Below are 12,903 nucleotides of genomic sequence, written 5' to 3' on the forward strand. Positions count from 1 at the left end.
ATGTCCCCTATGAGGCCCAGTAAATGCTGGCTCTCATTTTCCTGCGGCTTCTACTCATCAAAGAAGCAATAAATTGGGGCATAAATGACTCTAACACCTACTGCTGTGTGATCTTACCAAGTTACTCAACCACTCTGTTTCCTCATTTCTAAAGCTGTGATCATGACAGTACTTACCTAATAGGGTTGCTGTGAGGATGCAGAAAGAGGATGGGTATAAAGCACCTAGCCCAGAGCCTGTCACTTAAAAAGTCATCATCATTTTCAAATATGATTACACATTTTTTTCCGACGGGGATGCATCCTGAGCAATGTGTGGTTGGGTGATTTCGTCATCTCGCAAACATCATAGTGGACTTACGCAAACCCAGCTGGTGTAGCCTATTGCTCCCAGGCAACACACCTTCATGTACTGAATACGACAGGCTATTGTATCACATGGTATTTGTGTATCTAACCATACCCAAGCCTACATAAGGTAATATGTTGCACTACGACATTATGATAGCTATGACATCACTACGTAATAAGAATTCTTCAGCTCCATCATAATCTTATCGGCACCACCATGGTACAGGCAGTTCATTGTTGACCAAAACATCATTATGTGGCACATGACTGTATTATCATTAATTTCTACAAGTCCTATCTTTCTAGTTCTTTAGTATCTTAATGAATCTCCAATAAATGTCCTAATTAAGATTAATCCCTAAGACAAAGAACCAAGGCACAGACTTGCCAATGCTTTTGCTTGGCCTTGGGGCAGGGACAAGGCTAGGAGAGTGCCCTGGGTTGGCACCAAGTTGTCTCGCTGTCCAGCCTCATGAAATGCGTCCCCTTGTCAACAGCCTCCCTGGAAAGCTCCGCTGCACAGAGTCAGATCCACCGGGCACTTATTTAGTGGCCAGAAACTCCCTCTACTGCTTTGGGGAAGATGGGGCTGCAGGAAGCAGAGCACCCCCAGCCCCCTCCTCACCAGGGCCTCCCCAACCCAATCCATACACAGCTGGTGGATGAAGAGTTGTGAAGACTTAAGGTGAGGCAGCATGTGAGTATGCATGCTCAGCACAAAGGGCTCAAGGGCTGGCACACAGCAGGTGCACCATCCTTGTGAACAGGGAGGATACAAACTTGGTGGCTTACTGCCTCATGGTGATCCTGCCCTTCCCACCCCTTCCCCTTCATTCCCATATCAGATCTGTTCTCCAGGCCATGGCGAGTGCATGTGACCGTGGCTGGGAAGGTACCTCATTCCCCTGCCCACCGTGATTGGTCCAGAGGTTGTCCTAATCATCCATGGTAGGCCAGTCAGAGCCCTTCCCTAAGATTCTTTTTGGGGGAAGCTGGGAGAGAGCTTTGATGTGGTTCGATACACCAATACCATTGTGTATTTCAACTCTGAGGGCACAGAGCTGAAAGGATGTAAGCCTGGGTCCTGGGTGGGTAAAGCCTGCCTGGAGCTGGGGAAGATGAGAAGAGGAAGGCCTGCGGAGGGCCCAGTGAACGAGACCTGAGCTCAGCCTCTGTGCCCTGGAGTCCTCCTGCCTTTCCTTCTCTGGGCTGTAGTTCACTTTCTAATAAAGGTCCTTTGGGTTTGGCGGCTTTGTTCTGGGCCTCCTTCACCTGCATCGTGAGGAGCACCAGCAAAGGCCGCCTGACACTGCCCTCACCAAGAAATGAGCACCCCCAGCTTCACAACTTTCCCCTACCCCTGCCAGGAATGAAGGTGCTGTCCTATTCCTGTCCAGCGGGCTCCTGGACAAAGAAGGGAGAGTCTCTGATCTCCAGGCGCTGCTGATCAGACAGATGGAGGGATCATTCTGAGGACCTCAGTGTCTGTCATTCCCCACTCCTAGATTGAGTGGGGTTATCTCAGGCAAAGAGACAATGGGACAGACGGCCACCGGCACCAGCCCCAGCTCCAATTCTGCCGCTCAGGTGGTGATCACTCTCCCACATCTGCCTCCTGTTACCTTAAAGCAGTGGTTCAATGTGCTAGGCTGGTTTGAAGCAGTTACCCTGGGAGGAAATGCAGCCACTTTTCCTTTCTAAATTTGTATTTTGGTGACTGAGACAGAACCCTTAGTGTGGCTGTTTTTCTTGTCTTAATTTCATTCGTGGTTTCCCAGTCAGAAGCAAATGACAGCAAATCACAATCTCAGCATCGAAATCCCCACGTCTCTTGCTTTAATTTCCAAGTCACAAAAGCATGGGCACTTCTGGTTCATCCCAGTGGGGCAGGGGAGGGGGGGGACCCACTTCCTTCTAGTGACCCAGGTGCACACTCCCCAGCTCTTCACACCATTTAAAGGATTCTGCCCAAACTGCCAACCATGTGTTACAAATAAAGCCCTTCCCGAAAATGGATCAAAAACACTTTGTAATGAGTGAAGGAGCTGGTTTAAAAAGGGCCAACATCAAACAAAATCCCAGTCCTGAGTCACAGACACTCAAATAGCCCCTTCCAGGGTGGGAATGTCCTCCAAAGCACTTCCATTTGTGTGAGTAGTTCTTCAAGCCAACGTATCCAAATACATACATCTGATGAGCGGACTTTGCTTGTTTACATACATTATGTACATTCCTTTGATAGTCAATTGTCTAAAGTTGGAACAGTTCGGAGGGAAGAGCTATATAAGGTTTGCAATGATCTTTGTCCACCAGTTACTGGACAACTGGATCCAAATTCCACAAATAGCTGTGGTTCTTTACCTGCATGGTTCTCCTCCCCTGAGACATCCAGTGCCATGCATTTTCTCTTGCAGGTCTTTCCTTGCATCACCCCTCCAACCCCAGCAGATATCCTGGCTGAGCCTGTTTTCTCTGTGAGGGGCTACACTGCACACTGGGGCTCTTGAAAAGGGCTTGCTGGGCTGGGCACGGTGGCTCACGCCTGTAATCCTGACACTTTGGTAGGCCGAGGTGGGTGGATCACCTGAGGTCAGGTGTTCAAGATCAGCCTGGCCAATATGGTGAAACCCCGTCTCTACTAAAAATACAGAAAAATTAGCTGGGCATGGTGGTGTGCACCTGTAATCCCAGCTACTCAGGAGGCTGAGGCAGGAGAATCACTTGAACCCGGGAGGCAGAGGTTCCAGTGAGCCAAGATGGCACCATTGTACTTCAGCCTAGGCGACAGAGAGAGACTCCAATTCAAAAAAAGAAAAAGAGAAAAAAAAAAAAAAGAAAAAAAAGAAAGGGCTTCCTGCAGGGACAGTCAGTGCAGGAAAGGGCCTCTTTCGTACTCCCACTGCCCCTACGCATCTCCTGGGTAGAGGTCGCTGCTCCAGAGAGCAAACTATTTCCTCATCTGTGTGCCATTCCACTACAAGCCCCACAGGGGCCTGCAACGAGTCCCATAAATCCATCTCCAGGCCCTGCACCCACAAACTGGCAAAGGAAGTTTCAGGAAAAGTCTTTCTAATAGGAGTCTGTGGGCTGCCTCTGGTTCGTTTCTTTAGGAATTCTCCTCCATGCCCTTCTTGACACAAAAGGGCCTGAAGGGTTCCAGTTCTCAACAGGAGCTCCCAGGGGCTCCTGGCAGGAGGATGTTCTGCCTCTTTGGAGGAAAGCAAGAGCTAAGGAGCCCCTCCTGTTTTAGTTGCACCTCCATCCCCTTTCTCCACCCTGCACCATTCCCTTACCCTCTATGTGAGGCAAAGCCTGAAGTCCCTCCTTCCCGCCCTCTCTCCTGCCCACTAGTAGATTACACTCCCTGCTGCAGTTACACCATGATGCCTCTGCCATGCTGACAACTAGTGTCACACAGGAGCGTAATCAGAAGCACCTGGCATTCAACCCCGGTACCGATGGCCCCCACCTTTTCATTTCAGGCTTCTTCCTCCAGAGTGCTTGAGGCTCCCTGGCCTCCTGGCCTCTCCCAGGTCCAAGGCGCTGACTCCAGCTCTTGGCTCCAACATTTACAGGAACACTGGGACTAAGAAAATCAATTGTGTTAATCAGCAAAACCCTCCACTTGAGATGCTATCCTAAAAGCAAACTATATGTAAAACACTTAACGTGGGGAGCTCTGTAATATGTTTCTTTTGTTACACGACCATCACACATTTGTCCGGAGTTTGGGGCTTTCAAACCACATAAGGTTTTATGTGATCGTTATAAAATCCCTTCATTTCCCAAAGGTAGGGTAGTAAGGATTAAGTTTGACTACTGAAGGCAGCTTTGTTGTAAGTGGTCTCTAATGTCACAAAAGTAGCTTGGGAAGACAGGCTTATTAAACAAATTTCTTGGGTTGCAAATCATTAGAAGCAATCGCATGTCATGTTCATTTGCTTAACCCGAAAGGTATCCATTTGGATGTTTAAAGAAACTATGCAGATTAACATTGTTCCCAGTGCCCACAAGAAAGCTGGCTGATCTTAAAGGAAATCCAGGGAGCTCCTTGAGGAAGTCGGACTGCAGTTGAGCATACCCTTTTGTGGTTTTCCCACCTCTTTTGTAAAAAGTTCTTCATAGGAATCTGTGTCTGGAGGAAAAGGGGTTGTGATTTGTTAATCTGAAGATGGGAGACCTCAAAGGAATCTCACCCAACCAGTCCTGCACTGTCATCCTATGAACAGAGAAGTCAGGTGGTTGCTCAGTGAGGGGCAGGGCTGGCACCACATCCGAGCCTCCCTGTCCTGTGTTCCTTACTCTTCAGTGGACCCGGCGACCTCCCGGCTTTGGAGCCATCCTGTGTTCCTTTAACAGTAGGACGAACACACAGGCGATGATGAGATTGTAATGGGACAAGGGGGAGAGGCGTGGGGAGCTCTTGATGAAAACTTGGGTTTTTGAAATTACCATGATGAAGGGAGGAGCTTGCACCAGCAGGTGTAAGGAGTGTGAGTTTGAGTTCTGCTCATCAGACAGCCTAAGCAGTCACATCCTTGAATCCTGGTCTTTTGCAGGCCAGTCCTTGGTCAGGTGGTGGCCTTTTTCCTCTTTCCCCTCTGCACTGAGACCCTTATTTGGCTCCTGATCCTGGAGCCCCTGACACAGTCCTTACCACTGAAGTAGCTGTGGCCCTTCACATAGTTCTTCCCACCACGCCAGCAAGGGGACTGAGTTCTTTCAGTACAGCCAGGGCCAGGTCCACACATCTCCCTGGGAAGCCAGCACTTTCTCTCGTGGACCGCCTCCCCATTCCCACAGGGCCCTCCTAAAGGGCCTTTGGATGACCACATTGGCCTTTCTTTCCTAGGGTGGGGAATTAGAGATGCTAAGACTGGCCAGTCTCTTTTTCTTAAGAGTTTAGGGATTCGTCTTAAAATATTATTCAGATAAACGTATGAGTCATGTGTTAACTGCAAAACTACTTAACAGCACACTTGTTAGAATATCAGTCGGCACTCTGATTCCATTTCGGCATTGTTTTTCCTTTGGTTCTATTAAGATCCCGGTTCTAACTGGGTCCTGGTAGTAACAGGCTGTAAGTGGCCAGGTGTATAGCATTATTTCTTAGTAGTGTGGTGTGGTGCTGGTGGTTTATTTTCCCTATGCACACATGCCCTAATATGGAAGGATAGTTTGTACACACGTAGGGTACGTTATCATGAGACTCCTTTACAGAGTATGAAACTGAGGATTAGAGAAGTCAGACGAGTTTCCCGAAGTCTTATAGAAGGCTAATGGAAAAAACCAGAGCCAAGGGCAAACATGTTTCATCTGTCCTTCCACATTAGTTTAAATGTGAATGGCTGCTTGGAACACAGTGTTGAGAAGGATTCCGAGGCTGTGTCCAGGTTCAGTGGGGAAAAAGTGCCTTGATTTGACCATTATATCGTGTACTCAGGGCCTAGTTTATTTCCCACAAGCAGCTATTTAAAACATGTCTCATCCAAGGCAGGGTCGGGGTGGGGAACCTCAGAGGATCAATGATGCAGCCTGTATTGTCACCAGGGCTCATCCCAAAGCAAATCCTGCTGAAGTTCTCCTCTGAACAACCCTTATCACTCATGCTAATATGTTGGATCCTGCAAGTCACAAATACGAAGGTATGAGCATTGGCCGAATCCCAACAGGGAAACTTCACCGGGAAGGTGAAGACCCCTTTCCATTAAGATAACAAACAGAACCTAGAAGGCCCGTAGCATGGTGGCTTAGAACATGTGGGCCTTGGATGGGATCCTGCCAAGGGGTGTGTGACCTCTCCGAAGCCTCCAGGGATGATACTACTCCCTGGGGTGCTTATGCCAACCACGTTAGAGACAATGGTTTCTGTACCCATTGCCTGGGGCTGCCATAATAAAGTGCCACACACTGAGTGGCTTAAAACAACAGAAACCTATTGTCTCACACTTCCGGGGGCCAGAAGTTTGAAACCCAGGTGTGTTAGGATCCTGCTCCCTCTGAAGGCTCCAGGGAAGAGTGTCCTCTGCTCCCTCCGAAGGCTCCAGGGAAGGGTCTGTCCTCTTAGGCTTCTGGTGGCTTGCAGGTGCAGCCCTCCAATCCTCCTCCCCAAGCGGCCTTCTGCCTATAAGGACACGAGTCATACTGGATGAGGGGCCCACTAATTGATGGCTTCTGTAAAGTCCCCATCTCCAAATAAGGTCACATTGTGAGGTACTGGGAGTTAGGACTCCAACATAGCTTCTCTGGTGGACACAATTCAACTCCTAATAACGTCCACACAACCCCAAGCAGGGCCTGGCACCCTGTGTGCTCTCTGGAGAGCGGCTGAGTCAGGCTCTGGCAGTGTCTAGGCCATCGGTGACTGCAGCCCCTGGACGGCATCGCCCACCACAGGCCCTGGAGGCTGCCCCCACGGCCCCCTGACAGGGTCTCTGCTGGTCTGGGGGTCCCTGACTAGGGGAGCGGCACCAGGAGGGGAGAGACTCGCGCTCCGGGCTCAGCGTAGCCGCCCCGAGCAGGACCGGGATTCTCACTAAGCGGGCGCCGTCCTACGACCCCCGCGCGCTTTCAGGACCACTCGGGCACGTGGCAGGTCGCTTGCACGCCCGCGGACTATCCCTGTGACAGGAAAAGGTACGGGCCATTTGGCAAACTAAGGCACAGAGCCTCAGGCGGAAGCTGGGAAGGCGCCGCCCGGCTTGTACCGGCCGAAGGGCCATCCGGGTCAGGCGCACAGGGCAGCGGCGCTGCCGGAGGACCAGGGCCGGCGTGCCGGCGTCCAGCGAGGATGCGCAGACTGCCTCAGGCCCGGCGCCGCCGCACAGGGCATGCGCCGACCCGGTCGGGCGGGAACACCCCGCCCCTCCCGGGCTCCGCCCCAGCTCCGCCCCCGCGCGCCCCGGCCCCGCCCCCGCGCGCTCTCTTGCTTTTCTCAGGTCCTCGGCTCCGCCCCGCTCTAGACCCCGCCCCACGCCGCCATCCCCGTGCCCCTCGGCCCCGCCCCCGCGCCCCGGATATGCTGGGACAGCCCGCGCCCCTAGAACGCTTTGCGTCCCGACGCCCGCAGGTCCTCGCGGTGCGCACCGTTTGCGACTTGGTGAGTGTCTGGGTCGCCTCGCTCCCGGAAGAGTGCGGAGCTCTCCCTCGGGACGGTGGCAGCCTCGAGTGGTCCTGCAGGCGCCCTCACTTCGCCGTCGGGTGTGGGGCCGCCCTGACCCCCACCCATCCCGGGCGAGCTCCAGGTGCGCCCCAAGTGCCTCCCAGGTGTTGCCCAGCCTTTCCCCGGGCCTGGGGTTCCTGGACTAGGCTGCGCTGCAGTGACTGTGGACTGGCGTGTGGCGGGGGTCGTGGCAGCCCCTGCCTTACCTCTAGGTGCCAGCCCCAGGCCCGGGCCCCGGGTTCTTCCTACCCTTCCATGCTGCCAGCTTTCCCTCCGCCAGCTGCTCCAGGAAGCTTCCAGAAGCCCCTGCGCGGGCCTTGGCTTGCAGCAACCCTTTAGCATACTTAGGCAGAGTCCCATATTTCCTTCCTGCTGGAGGCCAAGTTCTAGGGGCCTTCTGGTTACTATGGCTGGTGTTTGTGTACATCATACCCTAACTGTATTCATCAACACTTAGAGTAAGCAAGGCTCGCTGGAGAGCCACACACACTGGGCACCGTAATGTCGGTTATAACACCGCAGAGGAGTTCTGAACTATGTATTTCGCACTCCTGGGTTCATCATCTCCTGAAATCTCAGGGTGGTGTTTGCTCTCAGTTGCTTCAGCTGAGTAGCTGGCTTTCTGTCCTGGAAAGCAGACTTTGTACATGTGTGTGCAACCTATGCCTGCTGAGATCATCATCAGACAGGGAAGCGGCTTGGTCCAGAGAGCTGTTCTCAGTAGAATGTTAAGCACAGAGAGCTGAGAATTAGACTGGTTATTTACATAGACATCCAAATAGAAACCTATAGAGTATCTGTTAAGTCAGGCTCTCCCGTCATCTCCCCCATCCCTGGGCAGGTGTCTAGGAGATGGTTTTGTTATTTTCAGGGCCCTCTCAATGGCTAAAACACTCTGGGAGATGAACAAGATTTTAAAAACCCAAAGCTTAGCGCACCTGGTGGGTGGGGGTGTGAAAACTTTGAAGGAAACCGCGTCAAGAGCCTGGCTGATTGTTAATATCACGTTAACTCAGAGGGCCAGGATACTTGCCCAGACCCGGAGTCTGCCTGCAAGTAGCAGAGGAGAGCTGGCCTTGCTCTGCCGCGTGTCTTTCTTCCTGGGCCCTCTGTCTCGGGTTGGAATTTGAATAGTGGAGTAGTGTCTGCCACAGTCAGGGGCCTGGATGAAGTAGACCACCAGTACGGAGCTATACTCAGGTACTTTTCAATGTATATATCTTCATTAAAAAAAAAAAATCTGGGCCAGGCACAGTGGGTCACGCCTGTAATCTCAGCACTTTGGGAGGCCGAGGTGGGTGGATCACCTGAAGTCAGGAGTTTGAGACCAGCCTGGCCAACATGGTGAAACCCAGTTTCTACTAAAAACACAAAAATTATCCAGGCGTGGTGGTGCATGCTGGTAATCCCAGTTACTTGGGAGACTGAGGCAGGAGAATTGCTTGAACCTGGGAGGCGGAGGTTGCAGTGAGCCGAGATTGCGCCATTGCACTCCAACCTGGGCGACGAGAGTGAAACTGTCCTGAAGGGGAAACAAAAAAATCTGTATCAAAATAAGGATTTAACTAATAGTATTAGGCACTACTTTAAAAAGGCTTTGCTGTTAGTAAGGTTGAAAGAAATAGAGCCCTAGGTATACATTGGGTAGCACCTTGTTCAGCTGCTCAGATTCTTGAACCTTGTTGAGGTCTTACTTTGATATCACCTGGGCCTTACTTTTCGTTGTTTGGGTTTCCTCCCCAGGTGTCTCAATCAGGGCCTCCTCTGTCCTTTTGCAGGGAAGAAGGGGGTAGGAAGGGCCTGAAAAAGAACTTGCCTTCCCCATTGCCCCCTCAGAGTTTGTTCCTCTCCAGTCCTCTTCCCACCCTTTCTTAGGACACCAAAACCCTGACTCTTTCAGTATTTTATAATAAAATAAAGTTACTAAATTGTCTGTTCTGTTTTGCAGAGGACACACATTTAGGAGCCAGTGATTCAGACCTTCCATTTTTCTTTTTGGTGCTAATGCTCTTTTCAGTATATTCTCTTTGATAGAAAAAAAATGGAGGCAAAACTGAATTTTCTGCATTATCTTTTCCTTTAGCATTATTCTTGTTTCTGCACTTCATTCTGACCCCCTTCCCCAGCATAAAGTTCCATGTCCAGATCCACTTGCCCTGAGATTTTTGACTTCCGTTTGGGACTCTAGTCCCTCCAGGGGACACATTGAGCCTCCCAGACCCTGCAGGGCCCTGTGCTCATTCGGCTCTTGGGCTGTTGCTACGGTCCTTCCTGACCCTCTGTTTCCTGGGACAAGTAGTTTTTAATGCAGCTACTTTCTGAAAGAGCTGGGGTCTTACCGCAGAATATTATTTTATTATTTTTAGAGACAAGGTCTTGGTCTTTCGCCCAGGCTGGAGTGCAGTGGTGAGATCATAGCTCCCTGCAGCCTCAAGCTCCTGGGCTCAAGCGAACCTCCTGCTTTGACCTCCCAAGTACCAGGGACTACAGGTGTGCGCCACCATACCTGGCTAATTGTTGTTGTTGTTGTTTTTAGAGGCCAGGGTCTCCGTATGTTGCCTAGGGTGGTCTCGAACTCCTGGACTCAAGTGATCTTCCCTCCTAGGCCTCCCAAAGTGCTGGAATTATAGGCATGAGCCACCATGCCTGGCCTCGCAGGATATTATTTAAACGAAACCTGAAGGATTTAAAATCAGAGAAGACACATAAACCATCACCTGACTGTGGGGTGAGAGTGGTCTTTATATAGACACTCATGATGCACAAGCCAGCCCTTCGCCCCACTCTTGTTTTGAAGTGAAAGGATTTATATGGGAGGGAGGAGGTTTGAGCTGTGCAGGAGGGTCCTTGGTTGGCATGAGGATTTTGTGAACCTACGCTGTTAGCTCTGCAGGCCTGTCTTGGACATAGGTAAGTAGAAGTTGGAGACCTTGTGTTGTGGACCAAATGTTGCAAGATGTGTGTTCTGTGGCTTTTCATTAACTGCTGCATATCTGCTGGTTGGTGGACATAGTCTAGTTTTCTTTTGACTTAAAAAAATTAACAGTACAGCTTATATCGGAGGGCTGCATAGTTTGGGGGAAACTAATGAATATAGTATGGAATGTAATGAATGACTGACTTCTTCATAGAGCTATTGAAGTGATTTATGAAGAGGAAGAAATCATTTTTGTGACTTTGTTGATCTTTGAAGTATTAGAGTGGCTTTGGCAGGTGTGGATCACCCGGAAAGGAATCAAACACTGAGTCCTGCCAAGGTGCTCGGTCCCGGCAGCAAAGCCAGTCCTCAGCAGCCTGCGCTCCCGAAGCTCCTCCAGCTAAGTAACTGAATAGGCCGCCCTGGGAGCTGCCCATGCGGATGCTCTGAATGGTGAAACTTGGTTTTGACACCACAAGTTGTTTTCAGTTAAATCAGTGGCTCAGCAGCAGAGCAGGGTTCTCCAAGGAGGCCTCGTGTCCCCTTCACCCCACCTGGAGGTAGCTGTTCTAAAACCAGTAAAAAATTCTACAAAAACATTTTCTTAGGGTTGTTAAATTAGTCATAGTGTGTGTAACCATGAAAGGAATGGTGAGAGTGCAATAAATGCCTGGTGTGTTCACTCTCCTACTCCTAAAAGTTTCTTGGTAGAATAATTTCCTACCTGTGATGCTTGCGAAGTCAGCAGAGGCTCCCACCCAGCCCTGCCGCCCATTCCCAGAAGTCTGGGCTGGGGGACACCGAATGGATAGTCCACCAGCGGCGTGGCTTGTGAAAGGAGGTACTTGTTAAATCTATGTGTTTTTATTATAGACATCGTTCTGCCAGTCGCAATAATGTGTTTATGGACATTTTTCTGCAAGCACAGCGCGGGTGGCAGTTTTTACTGACAAATTGAGTCATATGCATAGAGGTTTAGAAAGCGCTTGCCTTATTGACGGATCAGGCAATTCTGGCACGGGATGTTCAGAGATATTTAGGTGGGTGAAGAGAGTGAATGAATCTCAGGGCAGAGAAGGAGATGGGGCATTATATGTTGAAATGCAATAAATAATCGCTAGTTATTTATCATTTGTTTTTAAACTTTTAGCTACATTGTACTTCCCAGTCAAGAGGACTCCGGTGGGCAGCCGGGGATATCATGTTCAGGTGTCTCTCCTGCTTGTGTGGGGTAAGAGCCACTACTGGAATGCGATTCCAGCAAGGCCTGACGAGTCACAGCCCCTTGAACCTGTTGCTCTCCGTAAAGTGGGATCTTCACAGGCAACAGTGGAGGAGCGTTTGAGGGTGACCTGGGCCCTCTGCATCAGAATTACTGTGGGTGCTGGCTAGAGAGGTCTCTCGATTGCAGGGCCCCATGGGAGACCTACAGGACCAGAACCTGGGGATGCCAGGGGATTCTGGCAGACCCTAATGCTTGAGCACCTCTAGGGAAGGCCTTAGGATCCTCTGGGAAGTAGCACTCTCCAGCCCAGGCAAGATCCGAGTCCCCCTTCCAGAAGTATCCATCGGCAGTTGGCATTGCTGCAGGTTTTCTGTGCATATGGGTCTGAGTACGGTTTTGTAACTCCTGAGAGACGTGAATCTCTTCAAATTGCAAACCCAACATGTTATTATTGCTTTTGAGTTTTCAGTTTTGTGGTTATGACAAGATGCAGATGTTACCAAAACTTTGGCGTCAGTTTTACAAACACACGCGAAGCACGGGCAACCCGTATCATATTTCACCCCTTCTTTCCTTTTGAGAGGGTTGTCTTGTTTTTAATCCCCCTCTGGGTCAAGGCATTTTCCTGGTCTCAGGTGAGGGTGCACTTTCAGAGGCACAGCTGAATACATTTTGTGGGACTGAATTGAGCTTTTCTACAGGAAGTGCCAGGCCGTGTGTGGGAGTGATGCTGTTTCCTAGCTGGGTCCCCCTGGGCAACTCTTAGCCCTCCAGGCACCTCCTCATCCATTGGGTGGGGACGATTATGCTTATTCGGTCTACCCGGGTAAGTATAGGCACACGAGACAGTAAATACATATTTTTTTAAAAGTAAAATTTCTATCCACTACATGGATAGAAATTTTAATTTGGAGCTGAGTCTCACGGAAGGATGAAACGAGAAGACGGCGAAGAACCATTTCGAGCCCTCGTTTTCCCCCCAGTCCAATCCGAATCTGTATTTTGCAGATCTGCACACACCCAAGCCCTCACTGGGGGCATGTGCACGGTGGTCAGAAGTGCACCTTCTGGGAACAGATGGGCTTCCGTTTGGACCTGCTTTACAAGTTACAATCCTGTGCCCTTGAGCAGAGTTACTTAACCTTCCAAGGCCAGATTTCTCCAAAAGCAGGGCCAGGGACAGTTCCCATCCAGAAGGAGGCCTGGCGCTGGGGAGGCCTGAATGAAGGCGGTTGGTGTTTGCGGATGC

The 12,903-nt window shown here is 50.5% G+C and overlaps 1 protein-coding gene across 1 annotated transcript in view, besides 4 other annotated features; it reads left to right on the forward strand.

The window, feature by feature from the left end:
- Positions 7,034-7,473: a silencer, noted in NCBI's record as "silent region_2937". NCBI's record gives its function as "represses an Ori minimal core promoter by ATAC-STARR-seq in GM12878 lymphoblastoid cells {active_cell/tissue: GM12878}" and the evidence as "EXISTENCE:reporter gene assay evidence [ECO:0000049][PMID:35858748]".
- Positions 7,034-8,182: a biological region, named in NCBI's record as "H3K27ac-H3K4me1 hESC enhancer GRCh37_chr10:131265371-131266293".
- Positions 7,260-8,182: an enhancer, noted in NCBI's record as "H3K27ac-H3K4me1 hESC enhancer chr10:131265371-131266293 (GRCh37/hg19 assembly coordinates)". NCBI's record gives its function as "activates a minimal SCP1, AML or CMV promoter by ChIP-STARR-seq in primed H9 embryonic stem cells {active_cell/tissue: H9 hESC(primed)}" and the evidence as "EXISTENCE:reporter gene assay evidence [ECO:0000049][PMID:30033119]".
- MGMT (O-6-methylguanine-DNA methyltransferase) overlaps positions 7,394-12,903 on the forward strand; it is a 303,743-nt gene continuing 298,233 nt past the window's right edge. The window contains exon 1 of the mRNA NM_002412.5: positions 7,394-7,449. The gene's annotated coding sequence lies outside the window, so the exon portion shown is untranslated. The remainder of the gene's footprint in view (positions 7,450-12,903) is intronic.
- Positions 7,494-7,693: a silencer, noted in NCBI's record as "silent region_2938". NCBI's record gives its function as "represses an Ori minimal core promoter by ATAC-STARR-seq in GM12878 lymphoblastoid cells {active_cell/tissue: GM12878}" and the evidence as "EXISTENCE:reporter gene assay evidence [ECO:0000049][PMID:35858748]".

Source organism: Homo sapiens, chromosome 10 (assembly GCF_000001405.40).
Source record: "Homo sapiens chromosome 10, GRCh38.p14 Primary Assembly".
NCBI classification, from domain to species: Eukaryota; Metazoa; Chordata; class Mammalia; order Primates; family Hominidae; genus Homo; species Homo sapiens.